Below are 17,513 nucleotides of genomic sequence, written 5' to 3' on the forward strand. Positions count from 1 at the left end.
TGGGATTCCCGTCAGGCAGTCGGCCTCCCACTGGCTGCCTCAACATAATCTCCACAACATCCCATGATACAGATACTAACAGCTGCCCTTACAGAGAAGGAAATTGAGGCTCAGCATTAAACTACCTCCCCAAAGTCACCAACTAAGCAGCCGAACCAGGGGGCAAATGGATGTCAGATTCTGGAGTCCGAGTTTGCAACCGCCATGCACACATGCCTCACTACAGGGCCGGAGAGGACAGTGCCAGTGGGCAGCCACCAGGCCTGGGAGAGGGCATGTTAGGGCACACCAGCTGGTCAGCAGGGCAGGCTCCGTAGGGCAAAGGTAAAGGGCTCCCAACGCCCAGTGCCATCAAATCAAAAAGGGCAAGGCCAGGCAAGAGCCCAGCGCTGCTGACAGACTGGCAGAGGCAGAAATGATGGCGCCAACAACAGCTGCTGTTTATTTTGGGGCCAGGGAAGAGAGGAAGGACTGGTTAGGACCCATCTCATTCCAACAATAAACTGAACAGGGCAGGGCGGGGAGGTTGCCCCGCTTCCAGCTAAAGCAACAGCCTGGCCACCTGTTGGGTTTCACTGAGTGGAATGGTCTAGGTGTCAAAAACATCTTGCCAGACACCCTAATCTAGCTTCCACCAATAAACACATCGCCACCCCGGCCCAGCCCCCTCCCCAGACCCATGTGCTGCACTTGTAAATGGCCCAGGAAGGCGGCCACATACACCAAGCCCACCCCCTGCAGTGTCAGGTTCCAGAAACAAATGGTTTTTCCTGTCTGGGAGAAGAAAGAGAAACTGCTCATACTGGCCACCCGTGGCTTTTGTTCCCTCACCCTGACACTTGTTAACACCTAATGACAAGTGTCCTGAACGTAAGGTCTACAGACAGCCACCCTGGGCTGCAGCAAGGCTGGCTGGCGGGATTCCCGGAAGGCCAGGAAACAAGAGGTTTCGCGAAGGACTCTGGAGTCCCGCTGCCTGGCTCTGAACCCGGCTCTGCCCCTTCCTAGCTTGTGACCATTGGTAAATGCATCTCATGCATCTCTCTCTGCCTCTGTTCTCTCTGAGTAATGGAAGGACCATAATAGTGCTTTTCTCATAGTCTGTTGCAAGGATTAAATGAGTGATGTGCTTAGTGGCGGGCACATCGTTCATGCTGCTGTTGTTACGGTTGTTATTGTTATGTAGCCTTAGGGTTTCCTTCTCACTGTGAACAATGGAAGACAGTTTCCCTGGATGTTACACACAGCATTTAGGCTCCCAGGTTAGCCTATGCTGTAGGTGAACTAGAGATATCTGGTTGTCAGGGATACAAATCTACTCTGAGGATGAGAAAAGTTTTGGTGGGCTGACTTGAGAATCTTAACACCATTTACGATACAATACTGATAGGAACATGTGTTTTGAGTTTCTAACAACTAACTTCAGCAACTGTAAGTTAGAAGCTTCAGTAAAAATAGGAGTATGAGGTCGGAGGGGAAGGGGCTTTAGTAGAATGAAGCCTTTGTCCAGGGATTTATCACACTGATCCAGGACGCACCATGATCCAGACCCTCTGCTAGCATGAGGAGGGGGCGTTAAAGATGAAAGGATGTGGTCGCTGCTTTTGCAGGAATTCACGCCCCTACCTGCCTCCTGGCTCCCAGCTGGAGCACTGCTTTCAACACAGCACCTTGCACACAGTAGGCACAAAAATAATGTTCAGCCAGTGAAGCTTCCTGGTGTGTACCCTGCCTTTGGGGCCCTGGAGTTCCTACCCATGACGCTGCTGATGGAGACTGTGTTTCCCCAGGAGGTCTCTTTTAAAGGGGGTCAGGGTCAAACCCCAAGCAGTCCTTGAAGCCACCTCTCTGGCAGTGTTTTGGCCAGTTTCAGTCTCCATTAGGTCATCATGAGGCCTCACTGCTGAGCAGAGCATGCTGTGCAGGGTGGGGAGGGATACAAGGCTCAACGTGACCCTTTTCCCTATCTGACCCCATGACCTGCTGCTCTCCCCTCTCTCACTCCACTCAGGCCACACCAGCCACCTCGGGGCCTTGGCACCTGTTGTTCCCTCTCCCTCAACCACTTTCCCCCAGATAGCCACAGGGCTCACTTCCTCACCTCCCTCAAGTCTTACTCAAAAGCCACCTCTACAGTGGGGCTGTCCTTGGCCACCCTCTATAAAATAGCACAGCAAGGCCGGGTGCAGTGGCTCACGCCTGTAATCCCAGCACTCTGGGAGGCCGAGACGGGTGGATCACGAGGTCAGGAGATCAAGACCATCCTGGCCAACATGGTGAAATCCTGTCTCCACTAAAAATACAAAAAAATTAGCTGGGTGTGGTGGCGGGTGCCTGTAGTCCCAGCTACTCGGGAGGCTGAGGCAGGAGAATGGCGTGAACCCGGGAGGTGGAGCTTGCAGTGAGCCGAGATCGCACCACTACACTGCAGCCTGGGCGACAGAGCGAGACTCCGTCTCAAAAAAAAAAAAAAAAAAAGCACAGCAACTCCCACCATCACCAACATGCCTGTCTCCCTCACCTGGCTTTAGTTTTCCCTACGCCATTCAACCCCCATCTCATACACTATGTTTTTGACCTATTTTGTTATTGTATTCTTATTTTTAAATGATATATAATAGTTATACAAATTTTGGGGGTACCTGTGATAATTTGATACCTGTATACAATGTGTAATAATCAAATCGGGGTCATGGGGATATCCATCACCTCAAACACTTATCTTTTATTTGTACTGGGAACATTCCAGTTCTTCTAGTTACTGTAAAATATGCAATAGATTATTGTTAACTACAATTTCCTTACTGTACTATCAAATACTAAAACGTATTATTTCTACCCAACTGTATTTTTGTATTCATTAATCAACCTCTCTTTATTCCTCCCACCTGGCCTCTGGTAGCCGCCATTCTACTCTTCACTACCTCTGTGAGATCTACTCTTTTTAGCTCTCACCTATGAGTGAGGACAGCAATATTCGTCTTTCCGTCTTTCCGCACCTGGCTTATTTCACTTAACATAATGACCTCCAGTTCCATCCACGTTGCTGCAAATGACAGGGTGTCATTTGTTTGTTTATTGTTTCCTTTCCCACACCAGAATGTAAGCTCTAAACGGGCAGGGATTTTTATCTGCCCTGCTGTGTTCCCAGCGCTTGACACATAGTAAACATTCAAATATTGACTGAATGAAACAATGAATGAATGAATATGAGTAAGTATCAGCTTGCCAAAGGCTGAACAATCCAAGGTCATTCTTGGTAAGTGTTAAATGAGAGGTAAAACAGTTAACATTATAAAAATTCGTAGACTGGAAATGTCATTTTAAGATGAGAGGTCAGGGAAGCTTCCAGGAGATGGCAGAAACTGAGCAAAATCAAGAAGGATGATAACGCTGGTGATAGCAATAGTGCCGTTTATGGAACAGTTATCATATGAGTAACAACCATATGGGTTAGGTAGTAGTATTATTATACCCATTTTACTTAGGAAACTGAGGCCCAGGAGGTGAAGAAACTTGGCCAAGTGAAACAAGCTAATGAGTGGCAGGGCTGTGATTCATAGCCAGCTTCAGAGCCACAGCCCATGACAGCAGCTGCCGATGCTCTGCCCCTATCCTCTTGCCCTCAACTTCCAACTGCTGGCACCCAAGTCCCTCTCTTAGTGCTTACTCTGGTTTCCAGAGCCTGGTTTTGCCTAAGCAAGCATGGGGCTGAAAATACCAGGAACTTAAACTCCTCCATGCTCCCTACCACAGTGCCATGCTATCCACCATCCCCAAGAGGAGGATGTGGAGACTGGCAGCTGAACCCTCTGAAGGGCCAGGCCTTCAAAAGTGGCCCTGGGCAAGAGTTCAAGGGGAATACAAATTTGAACCTGCAAATAGAGGCCAGACCTTGGCACAGATCTGTTCCTATAGCAAGCTTGTTATCATATCTTAACATCCGCTCCAACCACATCATGTTTTCAGGGAGGGGCTCAGAGGGAGGGTCACATGGGCAGGTGACCTGGGGTTTAATTCAGCCCTTTGGGGTTTTATCCAGGACCTATGTGACGAGCTCCCTAGCTCCCCATCCCCTAGGGAAGCTGTCAGATAAAGCCGTCGGGCTTTGTTCCTGAAGAGATCTGGGATGCAACCCTGGCTCCCACTGTTGCTGCCAGTGATGGGGCAAGATGCTGCACCTCCCTGAGCCTCAGTTTCCTCCCCTATAAAACACAGATGATGACCAGGGTTTGCTGTGGGGATTAAATGAGACAAGTGCCTGCATCTAAAATGGACTCCACCCATACATTCTCTAACCTGACATCCCCACTTCCCCTGCCTGGGAGCTGCCACGTTCAGAAATAACAAAAAACATGAGGCTGCTTGCTTCAAGTTGCCAATGAGTGATGACTAAAGTCAGTAATTAATCCCAGCTTGAGACCAAAGTGCAGACATTGTTCTATTACGGACCTTAACTCTGCAAGAGAAGCATCAGTTTGCCAGCCCACTGAGGCTCTGACCAGCAGAAATCCCTGGGCTGCCACCTCTGGGAATCTCACACTCATCAAGAAGTGATTCTATCCCTTCTGGGTGCCAGGCACTGCGCTGAGGGCTCAACTAATCTGTTCCAGCCCAGGAGGCAGAATTCAGGACAGAGTTTCACCCTCTCGGAGCTCCACTGCCAGCCCCATGCCAGGCCGGCCAGGCCTCCTCCTCTGTTGTTACAGAGAGAAATTCTCCCACACAGGCAAGTCCCTTAAAATAGCCTTTTGGGTCTGGGCCATCAGGAAATGGGATAACGCTGGGTCAGAATTGGGCCTATCATGAAAGAGTTTACAAAGCAGTCACTTCAAAGGACAGGGACAATCCCTATATGCTCTGAACACTTAGATGGGCAAAAGCAACCAGGGCAAGTTCCCCATGAGGAGCACCTTCTCACAGAAGCCCCTGTAGCCCTGGGTGCCCTGAAAAGGGACCAAGTGTGTAAGACACAGTGATGGTGTAGAACCAGGCGCAGGCTGGGGAAGGGGAGGGAGGTCACATCTGCCTGGGTTTGTGCTTTCTTAACAATGCTACCTGCACTCTCCAAACCTCAGGTTCCATATGAGTCAAATGGGGTTAAAAATGCATACCTTCATGGCCACCCTGGGGCCAGAGGTTATAAATCAAAGGCCATGCAATGCCTGGCACAAAATGGGAATTCAATATGTGGTAGCTGTGTCAGAGGCATGTGAACCAGAGCAACTCCATCTTGAATAAGGGCTGGGTAAAACAAGGCTGAAACCTACTGGGCTGCATTCCCAGATGTTTAGCCATTCTAAGTCACAGAATGAGACAGGAGGTCAGCAGAAGATACAGGTCATAAAGACCTTGCTGATAAAATAGTATGCAGTAGGCTGGGCGTGGTGGCTCACACCTGTAATCCCAGAACTTTGGGAGGCTGAGCCAGGCAGATCACCTGAGGTCAGGAGTTCGAGATCAGCCTGGCCAACACTGTGAAACCCCATCTCCACCAAAAAAAAAAAAACAAAAAATTAGCCGGGCATGGTGGTGTGCGCCTGTAATACCAGCTACTCGGGAAGCCGAGGCACGAGAATCACTTGAACCCAGGAAGTGGACGTTGCAGTGAGCCAAGATTGCGCCTCTGCACTCCAGCCTGGACGACAGAGCGAGACTTCATCTCAAAAAAAAAAAAAAAGAAAAAAGAAAAAGAAAAAGAAAAAAAGGGAAAACAGCATGCAGTAAAGAAGACGGCTAAAACCCACCAAAACCAAGATGGCAACGAGAGTGACCTCTGGTCATCCTGACTGCTATACTCCCACCAGCACCATGACAGTTTACAAATGCCATGGCAATGTCAGGAAGTTACCCTATATGGTCTCACAAGAGGAAGCATGAATAATACACCCCTGGTTTAGCATATCATCAGGAAATAACCATAAAAATGGGTAACCAGTGGCCCTCGGGGCTGCTCTGTCTATGGAGCAGCCATTCTTTTATTCCTTTACTTTCTTAATAAACTTGCCTTCACTTTACTCTATGGACTTGCCCTGAATTCTTTCTTGCTGGAGATCCAAGAACCCTCTCTGGGGGTCTGGATCGGGACCCCTTTCCTGTAACAGCTCTATGATGATGATGGTGATACAATACGTGCCAAGGTCTCCTTTAGTGAGAGTACGCCTCAAAAAAGGAAAACAACGTAGGTTCTCCATCAGGGACCACACAGTGATAGGCAAAAGTGCAAACCAGCCCACACTCCATCAATCCCTACCCCACCTGGTACACCCTGCAAGTTCATTCTCAACATGGGGCATTACTTCCATTCCTGACTCCCTGAAGTTGTGGTCAGATCAGGTAAGAGTGATCAGTTTCCAACAGGTCTAAAGTTCATGCTCCAGGGATCCCAGAAACAGGCTAAATTGTCCCACCCGCCCCACTGCATAATTTATGCTGCATTGACACACACACACAGAGTCTACCCCGACCCAGCCATGGGCCTCCGCCCAGGCTTGGGGAGGGTGGCTTCCTCGCCAGCCAAAGGGAAATGACAGCACAGGGACAGAGAAAGCAGCCCAGTGGAGTGGCAGAAACCACAGCTGTTTCCCCTTTGCTAACTCAGCCACTTAGATATCACTTCCTCCGCTCAGGTAACAGCAGGGAGAGATGGGACTGGGAATAACTCTGTCTTTTCCTGTTCACAAAAAAATGATTGGTTTGGAAAGAAGGAAAACCAGAGGCCGTTTTCTAGAAGAGATCTTCACTAAGAGCCTAAGTACTCCTGAGTCGACTCTGTCTATGAGGCTTCTCAGGAGAGGTGGCTGGGCAGGTGAACCTTGTTTAAAAATTCCCTGGGGTCAGGAACAACTCACTTTGTATAGCATCCCTGCCCTAGATAATTAAGAACCCAGACTGGGGGATCAAGGGACCTCCTCACACAGCTATCATCTCTGGGCTCAGTGCTTTCCAAAGCAGCTGTTATACCTGCCCTCCGCTCTGCAAGGCAAGCCTGAAAAGAAACAGTTGCACCATTTTCTAGATGGGCAAATGTAGTTCTAGAAGGGGGAGGTGACATGTGGAAGATCTCACGGCTTGAGGAGCCAACCAACTAGGCCTAAGGTGGAACCATGGAGCCCAGGCATCCTGGGTGTGTAATGTGTCATTAAGCGGTCTCTGTGGGGACAGGGCAGGCTTTGGAGCCAGCAGACCTGGGTCAGTGCAGGCCTCTCCACATGCAGCTCATCAGCTGCGTGGCATCTGGCAATTCATTTGAGCTCTCTGAGCCTTTGTGCTGTCACCTGTACAGTATGGATGCTGGTGGGAGCTACATGCTGCGTGGGGCTGTTCTGAGAACATCCATATGAGATGCTTAGCACATAGAAAACATTTAGAAAGGTCAGCTGTTATTTTTATTGTTACATTTTCCCTAAGAATAAGGTTTACTAGACTATCTGGGAGTGTGGTAGAGGTCAAATAAATGAAGAGGTAGTTTGAAGCATTGCATTTACTTATTTGTTTTTAGAGACAGGGTCTTGCTGTTGCCGAGGCTGGAATGCAGTGGCATAATCATAGCTCACTGCAGCCTCCAATTCCTGGGCTCAAGTGATCTTCCCACTTCAGCCTCCCGGGTAGCTAGACTACAGGTGTTCATCACGATGCCTAGCTTTTTAGAATTTTTTTTTTTTTTGAGACAGGGTCTCACTCTGTCACCCAGGCTGGAGTGCAGTGGTGTGATCACGGTTTACTGCAGGCTCAACCTCCTGGGCTCCAGCCATCCTCCCATCTCAGCCGACTGAGTAACTGGAACTACAGGCGCATGCCTCCACACCTGGCTTATTCTGGCTTATTTTTTAATTTTTTTGTAGAGATGGGGTCTTGCTACATTGTCCAGGCTGGTCTGAGCTCCTGGCCTCAGGTGATCCTCCCCACTTTGGCCTTTTGAAGCACTGGGATTACAGTCATGAGCCACCATGCCCAGCTGAAGCACTGCATTTAAAACTAAAACAAGTTCAGGCCAGGCGCAGCGGGTCACACTTGTAATCCCAGCACTTTGGGAGGCTGAGGCGAGTGGATCACCTGAGGTCAGGAGTTCGAGACCAGCCTGGCCAACATGGCAAAACCCCACCTCTACTAAGAATACAAAAATTAGCTGCGTGTGGTGGTGCATGCCTGTAATCCCAGCTACTTGGGAGGCTAAGGCACGAGAATCGCTTGAACCCGGGAGGCGGAGGCTGCAGTGAACCGAGATCGCACCACTGCACTCCAGCCTGGGTGACAGAGCGAGACCCCAACTCAAAAAAAAAAAAAACCAACTAAAACAAGTTCAGAGAGATCCTGAAGTAGAAGGCAACATTAGTGTAGATGGTTCAGAAGACACAGACATGCTGGGCTCCCCTCAGACTGTGAGGTATTGGCCCCCAGAACCTACGAGGATGGGCGCATTCTCGCTCTTGCCACTGGGGGAGTGTGGATGGAAATTACTCCACCTGAAACGCTGCTGCATCAGGCCCTCCCAAGCTAGTTAAGACCCAAAGCAGCTGACACCTCACTTCCTGCTGCTCCCTCTCCTCCTCCTCCTCCTCCTCAACCCTTCCTCCCCAGGAGCCTGGGTGCAATCAACTTTTTATGGGGAAGCCAGACCCCTAGGAGTGAGAGCTGTAAACAGGAGGGGTGGGACCCAGCTGGCCAACTAAAGAGTCCCCCAGGCAGAGCTAGAAAAAGGTTCCAGTCCTTACTTAGCTCTGTTCCAGGCACAGTCGCAAAAACAGCGCTGGAGCCCACCGGGAGGACCTCAAAGTGACTATTTAGCTCCCTCTCCCTGCCAAGCCCTTGGGAGAAAAGGAAGGTTCCAAGGTGTCTACAGAATAAACTGAATTCCCTCTGCTGCCATCGGAGCCTCTCAGAGCTGGCCCTGAGCTTTCCTGTCATCCTTCTCTCCCTCATCCACCCTCGGCTTTGCCCAGCTTTTCCTTGCACGTTCCACCTCCAGCACCTTTGCTTTTCTCTTTCTTGGAATGCCCTTCCCCAGTTTTCCCATCTAAATCCTACTCTTTCCCAGCCAAATCCTAATTACACCTCAAGGTCCATCATGAAGCTGCCTTCTCCAGTCGGTCTTCCCTGGAAACTCCAGTTCACAGAGTGCTCTCCCTCCTCTGAACAGCTTCAGGACTTAGTGATTGTGAAAGCAAATACTTATGCTGAGCTCCATAAGGCGCCAGGTACCGGTCTAAGCTCTTTACAATTACAAACTCATTTCATCTTCATCATAACCCTAAGAGCTAGGTCCAACTTTCCCCATATATTCTTTTTTTTTTTTTTTTTTTTTTTTTTTTTACTGATGAGGAAACTGAGGCTCAGAGACATAAGTAACTTGCACTGTATCCCACGGCAGCGAGTGGTGGGGCCAGGATATCCCAATGCTCAGCCAAGGGATACGGCACACAGGTGCTCTGGGACAACACAGCCTCCCAGGTGCACCCCTCATCCCCAGGTGGTGCTGCCTGGACTCACTGGTTATTTTCTCTCTCACCAAGCCAGCTCTGATGGGGAAGAAGTGGCACTCACAGATGTGGGTGTCAGAGACCAGGGTGAGAATCCCAGCCCTGCCACAGAATTACTCTGAGTAGAATGATACGAACCCTCCGAGCTTCAATTTCCCCATCTATAAAATGGGAATAAAAACACCTACCTAACCGCATGGGGTTGTTATGAGGTTCAAGTAAAATCGCCTCTAAAGGCATCTTCTGCATTGCCTGGCACATAGTAGGTGCTTGTATGTTAGTTCTCCCCCTTCTTATGGGGTCTGGACAGCCTTGCTGGACTCTGACCGGCACCATGCACACAGCAGGGGCTCAGTCTCTGCGGCTGATATGGTGACTTGCCTGGGGGTTACCCAGAGGCACAAGAGGGATCCTCATGTGACCCCCATCCCCTTCACAGCTAGGCTCCTGACCTTCCATTCACCTGCCCACCTGTGACTGGCTGCACTACAGGCAGCAGAAGCCCGGGCCAGGCAGGAAGTAGCACGCTGCTCTGGGAATCCGCCTCTGGAAGCCCTGATCACTCTATTGGGCGCTTCCATTATTTTTGGCAATTGTCATGGCAGAGAACACCTCTGGCCCTCACTCAGAACCTATTTCCAAAGCCAGAATCTCCACCTCATTTCCCACACACACCCCTTGTCCTTCCTGTCCCCTGGGTCCCTATCCTAATCTACTATCCCTTTCCTGGATTCTCAGAACTCGAGAGGAGTAAGTGGGACTACCATGTGTATAACTCTATTATTTGTTTCATTTTGTTTAATTAAGAGGTAAAAGAGAACACAGTTGCCCATTAGACTTTTTCTGGCCAAGAAATAGTCTGGTCAGTGACTCAGGCTGAGGCAATTAGAAGGCAATTTACAGGGAACTGCTGTGCAAACCCAAAGTCAGAAGTCCTAACAACACTTCCCTAATTCATAGCCTCCACGGTCAGTTAACTCATGCTGGCCCCGGAATATCTCTTTGGAAAATGCAGCAGCTGGGGCTTGTATTTCTGGGCTGGAATCGGTCTCCTCTGACATCAAATAGGTTTATTTTTCCCTTCTCTTCCCTTCCCCTCTGCCTGCCACCACACATGGTAATTTCTACCCTGGTTTGCCCCCCAAAAGCCCTCACTCAGCTCAACACAGGGTTGCGATAAATGGCTGGCTGTGCTCCCTGTTCCAACAGCCTTGAAGGGTGTGGTTGGTTGTTCCATGAGCAGGGAGCCTTGTCAGACCCGTGAATCACCCCTCGATCACTTCCCTCCCCAGAGAAGAAACCGTTCCCATGCTTGTGCATGTGTAAGAGAGACAGAGGGACAGAGAGAGCAGGCAAGAGTGTTAACCCATGTGTGGTGCTGACCTTGGGGCTAGGATCCTATTTGACCTTGCCCTTACCCAGAGCAACCTCTTTCCTTCTCTCCTAACCTCTGTTTCTTCCCAGCTTACCAGAAAGCCACCACCAGATCCCAATGCTCAGCTCCAGGAACCCCTCCAGGTCTGAACAGCTGCTCTGTGTTTATCTGTTCCTCTTGGAGGCTGGGTGTTTTCCATGGGGCGTGTAACCCACTTCCCCATCAGACTGTGAAAAGCTGGGCCGTCCTTCTTGCCTCAGTCTTTCCTTTTCTCTCAGATTGACCGATTGGGTCCTAAATCACCTGCAGTGCCTTGGTGATCAGGAACAGCAGATGGCAACTAGTATATGGTGCATGTCCATGGTGAGGTCAGGCACTGGGTAGACACTACCCCAAATTATCTCAGGCCAACTTCCCAAGAGCCCTGTGAAGTTACAGGTGAGGAGACTGAGGCTCAGAGTGACAGCCCAAGGTTGCACAACTAGGAAGTGCCACAGGTAGGATTCAAGCACTGATCTGCCCAACACCATACTCATTCCATAATGGAACTGGCCCTGAAAAAGACCCTTGCAGGCTGTGGCTGCACATTCTCATTCCTGTGGGGCTGGAGTCACAATCTAAGGGCTGAGAAAAAAAAAAAAAAAGAAGGGCACAGAAATGAATGAGTTTGGGGCCAATTCCTAAGCATGTAGCTCCCAGGACCAAGAATAAAATCTGGGATGATCTAAACAGAGGAAGAATATATTATGTCCACAAGGTCAACCCTTAATTTATTACCCTAAGCATTACTGGGGACCAGATACCAGCCTGAAGTTGCTCTACTCCTCCTGCCTCACAGTGACCCGCCTGCGTTGCCCACCATGAACTCACCTGCAGGGCACATGGTAGATGTCTCTACAGTGAGGCAGTCCTAAAGACAACCCTGTACTGCTCTGTCACCATGGAACAGGGCTGAGCCTGGCCTTCCTGCCCGGATTCTAATTGAAGAGAAGGGCCCCACCTTATATCCACATCCTCCTTTGGAGCTAACCTGACCTGCATTGCCCTAGCTCTGCCCTGTGCCAGCTGCGAGACCCTAAGCAAGTTGGTGAATTGCTCCAAGTTGCAGTTAATTCATCTGTAAAACAGAATCCAAAAACCTACCCCACATTAGGGTACATTCAATGACCTGCAGGAATCACACGAAAACACGAGTGTTAAGTATGTTTCACCATCGATGGTAACTGCTAAACTGGCTATTATTTGCATTCCCCAAAGAGTCCTGCAGAGGATCAGAACATTCATGATTGGTATTTGTCTGAAATAAACAATCAGGAAATAAAACAACTGTGAAAGTGCAATACCTCCCAAATCCAAATAGATACAATTTCTTGTTTGTTTTAGATAAACGAGCTTTTCTCTACCACATGAATTGATATATACCTATACCTGCCTGTGAGCACAAAGAACCCGGTGGACCTGAATTCAAATCTTTACTGAAAAACTTTCAAACGAAGGAATCTGCATTCTGCATCCAGCATCATCAGGACCATTTTCAAGACAAGCGGTCAGAGGCCAAAGCCAGTTTACCTAGGGTCTCCCCAGGCACAGCTCAGAAAGCCAGGAAAGGAGCCTAGCTTCATGCCAGGGAGCCTGACCTTAGTAGCAGCTGCCTGCCCTTCTCAACCCCACCCCAAGCAGGGGCCTGGCAGAGAAGAAGGAAGCCAGGGCTGAGTGCCATCCCCATGATGGAAGCTACTTGCGTGCCTTCATGAACTGACCGAAAGCACAGGACCCTTCGTGTTCAGGCAGCTCCCCCTCCCCGTGGGGATGAGCAAACCCTTTGCAGAATGTCCTGAGAGAACCTTTGCAGTGTGTTCCCAGCACTCTGGAGCCAGCAGAGCTCCTCCTGCGTGGGCCCCAGGCCTCTCATCGGCTAGCTCTGGCTAACACGCACATCCCGTAAAACCTCTCTGCTCTGCAATTTACCAAACCACAGACTCAGAATTCACCATCAGCAGAGGAAAGGCTGGAAGGAGGCTTGCTCCTCCAGTGTAGAGGGTTTCCAGAACACAGGCAATGGGTGCAGCACGTCCTGCCAGCTGACCACACCAGAGGGCCTTACTCACAACACTTGAGCTTTTGGTGTGTGGTATTCACCGTGCAAGGGCCAGGAGAGGAAGAGGCTGCAGCCTCCCCAAACCCGCTCCTCCTGCCCCTGTCTGTCCCACCAGGCCCTTTCTATTGCTTTCTTTCCCCCTTTCAATTATTGGATATGCTTATGTTATGTATTAATATATACAATGCCCCAAATGGGTAGAAACTTTTTGACCACCAGTTATTTGTCCTCTTAGCCAAACCCAACTGGACTTAGGGTACATGCAATGAAAAAAACCCAGCTGTGAGCAGCTGTGTTGCAAGTTACTTTACCCAATCTGGCTCTCCATTTCCTCATCTGTAAAATGAAGGAGTTGAGCCAGATGAGTCTTCGGGTCTCTGCCCGTTCCACAATTCCACAACATGTAACACTTTCTCCTCTCAGTGTTTTCCAGAACTCTAGTTCAGAACTCTGCATGGCCCCATCTGTTCAGTGACATCACTCCCTGCCCCCCCAAACATAATGTCATCGATTCTTACTCGGGAAGCGGAGATGTCCCGGGAAACACTTTGTCTGTAAAAAGGAAGGAAATGATCATTTCGAGGGAACTGGACAGGACTTCTTTTGTGTTTTTCACATAGAACAAGTTATTATCAATCTTAAAACCCAAAATCTTTCTTCCTTTTTGCCAGACCATTAATAGCTGCTTTTCAAAAATACTTTCTTAGTCAGAATCTCACCAATAATAAGCTACCATTTAATAAGAGCTTACTGCGTGCCAGGAACTGGGCTAAGTGCTTTACATAGATGATCTCATTTAATTCTCCCAACAAGTACATACTATTATTATCCTTACTTGAAATTGAGTAAACTGAGGCTGGGGGAGGTTTAAATAACTTGCCAAGGTGGCACAGCTAGTTACTGGCTGCATGCCAGGCTTTGAGCAAGACCGTCTAACTTCAGAACCCCAGCACGCAATCTTGCCTTTCAATCCTGTCTGCAGTGGGCCCCGGTTCTAGTTTGTTACCAGTGTGTCCTGCATCTGCAACCTTGGGCACCATCGGTGGGAGCTGAAATGTGATGTTTCATTTAAAATCCAGAGTTGGAAACGCACCTGCCTGGGTCTCAGAGCAGAGTGCCATCTGTTGAATGCAGTGCCAAGCTCAGCTGAGGACTACAAATGAGAACCCTTAAAACTTAGCCTGCAACATTTGAGAAAAATAAACCCTGGGATATACAAAGGGACATCTGTCCACAGAGCAGGTTGACCACCTGGTGACCCAAGCCCTCCAAAAAGAGCTTTCTTGTAACAGCAGCAGAAAATGCTTGCTGGACCAGATGACACAAAAGAAACAACTCTCTAAGGGTGTCAGGGACTGGACCCGACAGGCACCCACCTCCCTGCCTAGTCAACCTGCCTCCACATTTACCTCCTCCCCATATGAGCCCAGCCGCATTTGCTCAGCTGTAAAGAAACTCAAAGTTCAGAGCTACACTGGTGACAAAGGCAAAAAGAGTAGCCCGAGGCTGACATTGCCACAAACCCCAGTCCCTTTGCAACAGTGGAAGAAAAGGCACTTCAGAGATCAATGTACAATCCAGGGCAGCAACCAGCGCCTGTTTTAACTGTTAAGATTAATGCTTTGAGCACTGGAACTGCTCCTCTAAATACCCAATTTGCAAATAACATGCAGTCCTCTGTGCTTGGGTCTCTTCTATCTCAAGTACAGGAGCACAGACGCTCAGAGGGGTCAAGGACACCGTGTTTACTTCCTAAGGTGTGAGGGATGGGAAGACAGGACCGGCTGAGATGAAAGGGGAACTGTCACATAGGCTCTGGAGCTGCCCCAGTCAACCTTAACCCCTTCTCATTAAAGTTTGGGGGAGGAAGGGGGAGGGGCGGTTCCTCGGAGACCACAGCAAACATTCGCCTCCTCGTGTCTGGAGATGGAGCATCACTTAAGAGGAAATGAACCCGGTTAAGGGTCACGTCCAGAGGAGGGATAAAAGGAAAAGCCACAATTCTCCTCACACCGACGGACACAATGGCTTTATGAGGGAAATCAAAGCTTAGCGCGGAGGGTGGAGGTTGGGCAAGGGGGCGGCGGCTTCCTTCTGCCCCCAGCCCCAGGCCTAGGAAGGCAGAGACAGAGCTGGCGTGGGAGGCAGGGCGCGAGGCTTCCTTCTCCAGGGCGAGCTCTGAAAGCATCTCGGGCTGTGTGAGCGTGAGCGCCCAGGGCCCCTGGGGAGGGCCGAGGAGATGCGCTTTCCCGACGGGGCTGCTCTGTGAGGGGTTGACGAAAGCTCCCCCCACCATCCATCAAAGGCGGACAGATGACTTCACCGTTGTAACAGACAAGGGCAGCCACTTGCCAATTCCAATGCCAAAAAAAGAAACCGGGGGGGCGGGGGTGCGAAGGAGGAAGGACAGAAGAGGCTTCCCTGGAGATCACAGCCCTGCGAAGAAACTCCACGGCTGCTGGCTGCCCAGTGGGCGCTTAGCTTCGCGACCTCACAGCTGGGAGGGGCAAGGGGCCATCCGGGGCCCTCCCGGGACCTCGGGCCACCCCCAGCAGGGTCGGCGGGGGCTGTACTCACGTAGTGCTTGGAGGGGTTCCTCCGCTTCTCCACGTCCACCACGGTGGCATCCTGCACGCAGTAGGCGAGCATCTTCCCCCACAAAGCGAGTGGCGCCCCCGGCGGCGTCACCTTCTCATCCCGGCCGGGCTCCGGCTCCTTCTCCAGCTGCCGGGGTCCCGGGGCCGCCCGCCACCCCGGCCCGGCGCGCCGAACGCTGCCCGGACTCCCGGCGCCCACAGGTCCGGCCCAGGGACGGGGGAGGGTCCCGGAGGGCGCGCGGGCTCCGTGCGCCCCGGGGGACTCCCCGCCGGCCTGCCGCGCGCCCCTTCACTCCCGCGCGGCCGCCGCGCTGCGCTCGCCCGCTCGCTCTCTCCGCCGCCCGGTGGGTCCGGCGGGAACTGGCGGAGCAGAGGAGGGGCGGGGGTGTGTCCCGTCGGCGAGGGGACGGGGCGGGGGCCCCGGAGCCTGCTGTCAGCGTCCTGGGGAGGGGCCGGCGGCTCCCCTTCGCCGCTCTCCGGCTCGGGCTCCGGGGGGATCGGCGCTGGCGGAGGCTGTGGGCGCAGGAGGCGGAGGCAGGGCCTGGCAGGCAGGGAAGGGAAGGGAGGGAGGGGAGAGAGGGGAAGCGCGCGGGGAGGGGCTCCGGGCCGGGGGAGGGGCTCGGGGCGACGGGGAGGGGGCTGCAGCCCGGCCCCAGTGGCAGGGGCGGGCCGACGAGCCCCCACCCGAGCCCAGCGCGCAGCCAGCGGCCTGGCGCAGCACCGGGCTAGTTCGCTAGGCACAAAAACTCAGGGTGGCTTCGGGGGGAGAGGGAGCGGGGAAAGTGAGCCCCGCGCGCCCCCATCCTGGCTTTCCGCCTCGGAGCGGATTTGTGCCTTTTTGTCCCCACTTTTATGTCCCCCTACAACTTCCACCCCCAGATCTCTTTAATGAGAAGTAGTTTATTACCCGGCTGTTACTGCCCAGGCCCCCGAGGAGGAGATGGGAATGGGGAAAAGGCCAGCTTTAAATCCTTCAAGCCAGAGCCTCTTTGGACGAACCACCTGACCCTCTGCAGGTCATAAAGGGTGAATTCTCCCCGGAAAAGTGATCGATTCGTTGCCTGAGTCGTCCATCGATCTGGGCTTGTGTAACTACCCTGTGCATCATTTACCAATGACAACGTTACAGACTCTGCATAACACCACTGCCTTAAGCCCAGGGCTCCCCTGGGGACCCTCCCCAAGCTGGCGACAGGGAAAGGAGCATACAATGGTGGGAAAACCCACCCGGTTGGAGGCCAGCTCACCGTGAGCCCCAGGCTCTGGCATTCTCACCCCTCCCTCTAGTCTGGAAAACCCACTTTCCAAGCCACTTGTCCGTGGTCCCTGGACTTGGAGCACAGTTACTACTTAATTCAATGTAGCTTCCCCCCTTCTAGTTCAACATTTTTTTCCCATTCTGCTTTCAAACATTTAAAGGGTAGTGTTTTCACAACTACTCCAGTTGTTACACAATCACAATAAAGCTTTGTGACTGTGGACCAATGTGAAACATCTGAAAAGAGGACAAATAATTTTGTGACCTAATTGCATTAATACTTTCTTCTGCGCGTTCTCTAGACTGTCAGAACCCAGGCACAGATCTAAGGCTTTATTTATTCACATATTTGCTCCATACAGAGTAACCCACTATTCCTCCAACCTTCCTGGGGAAGGGCGCTAGGACACCAAACGATGGCACGGGACAAAGAAAAAAAAAGATGGATGGGCCTAGGGGGCTCAGACTGTGAGAGATCTTGGCACCAGGCCAGAGCTTCTTGGTCAGAGAAGATGACAGAAAACCTTTGTGAATGTTGGAGCAGGAGTCCTGGGGGAAGGTGCACCTGGTAATGTTGCTCAGCTGATGGGAAAATGGGAGGACAGGGCACTACCTCCATGAGCAAGGATTATTCCCTGAAGGGATGAGAGGTAGACCTGGAACGGGCCCTCCATATTGAGCTCCCGAACTTGGGAGGGTGCTGGCC

The 17,513-nt window shown here is 51.3% G+C and overlaps 1 protein-coding gene across 2 annotated transcripts in view; it reads right to left on the reverse strand.

Annotated features, from left to right (window-relative positions):
• The window catches only part of SH3PXD2A (SH3 and PX domains 2A), a 261,550-nt gene extending 245,639 nt beyond the window's left edge, over nucleotides 1-15,911 (reverse strand). For both annotated transcript variants that reach the window (NM_014631.3, NM_001394015.1), the window contains exon 1: nucleotides 15,530-15,911. In NM_014631.3, the coding sequence (NP_055446.2) occupies nucleotides 15,530-15,601 (72 nt within the window). In that variant the 5' untranslated portion in view covers nucleotides 15,602-15,911. The remainder of the gene's footprint in view (nucleotides 1-15,529) is intronic.
• Between the last annotated feature and the right edge of the window lie 1,602 nt (nucleotides 15,912-17,513).

Source organism: Homo sapiens, chromosome 10 (assembly GCF_000001405.40).
Source record: "Homo sapiens chromosome 10, GRCh38.p14 Primary Assembly".
Taxonomy (NCBI): domain Eukaryota; kingdom Metazoa; phylum Chordata; class Mammalia; order Primates; family Hominidae; genus Homo; species Homo sapiens.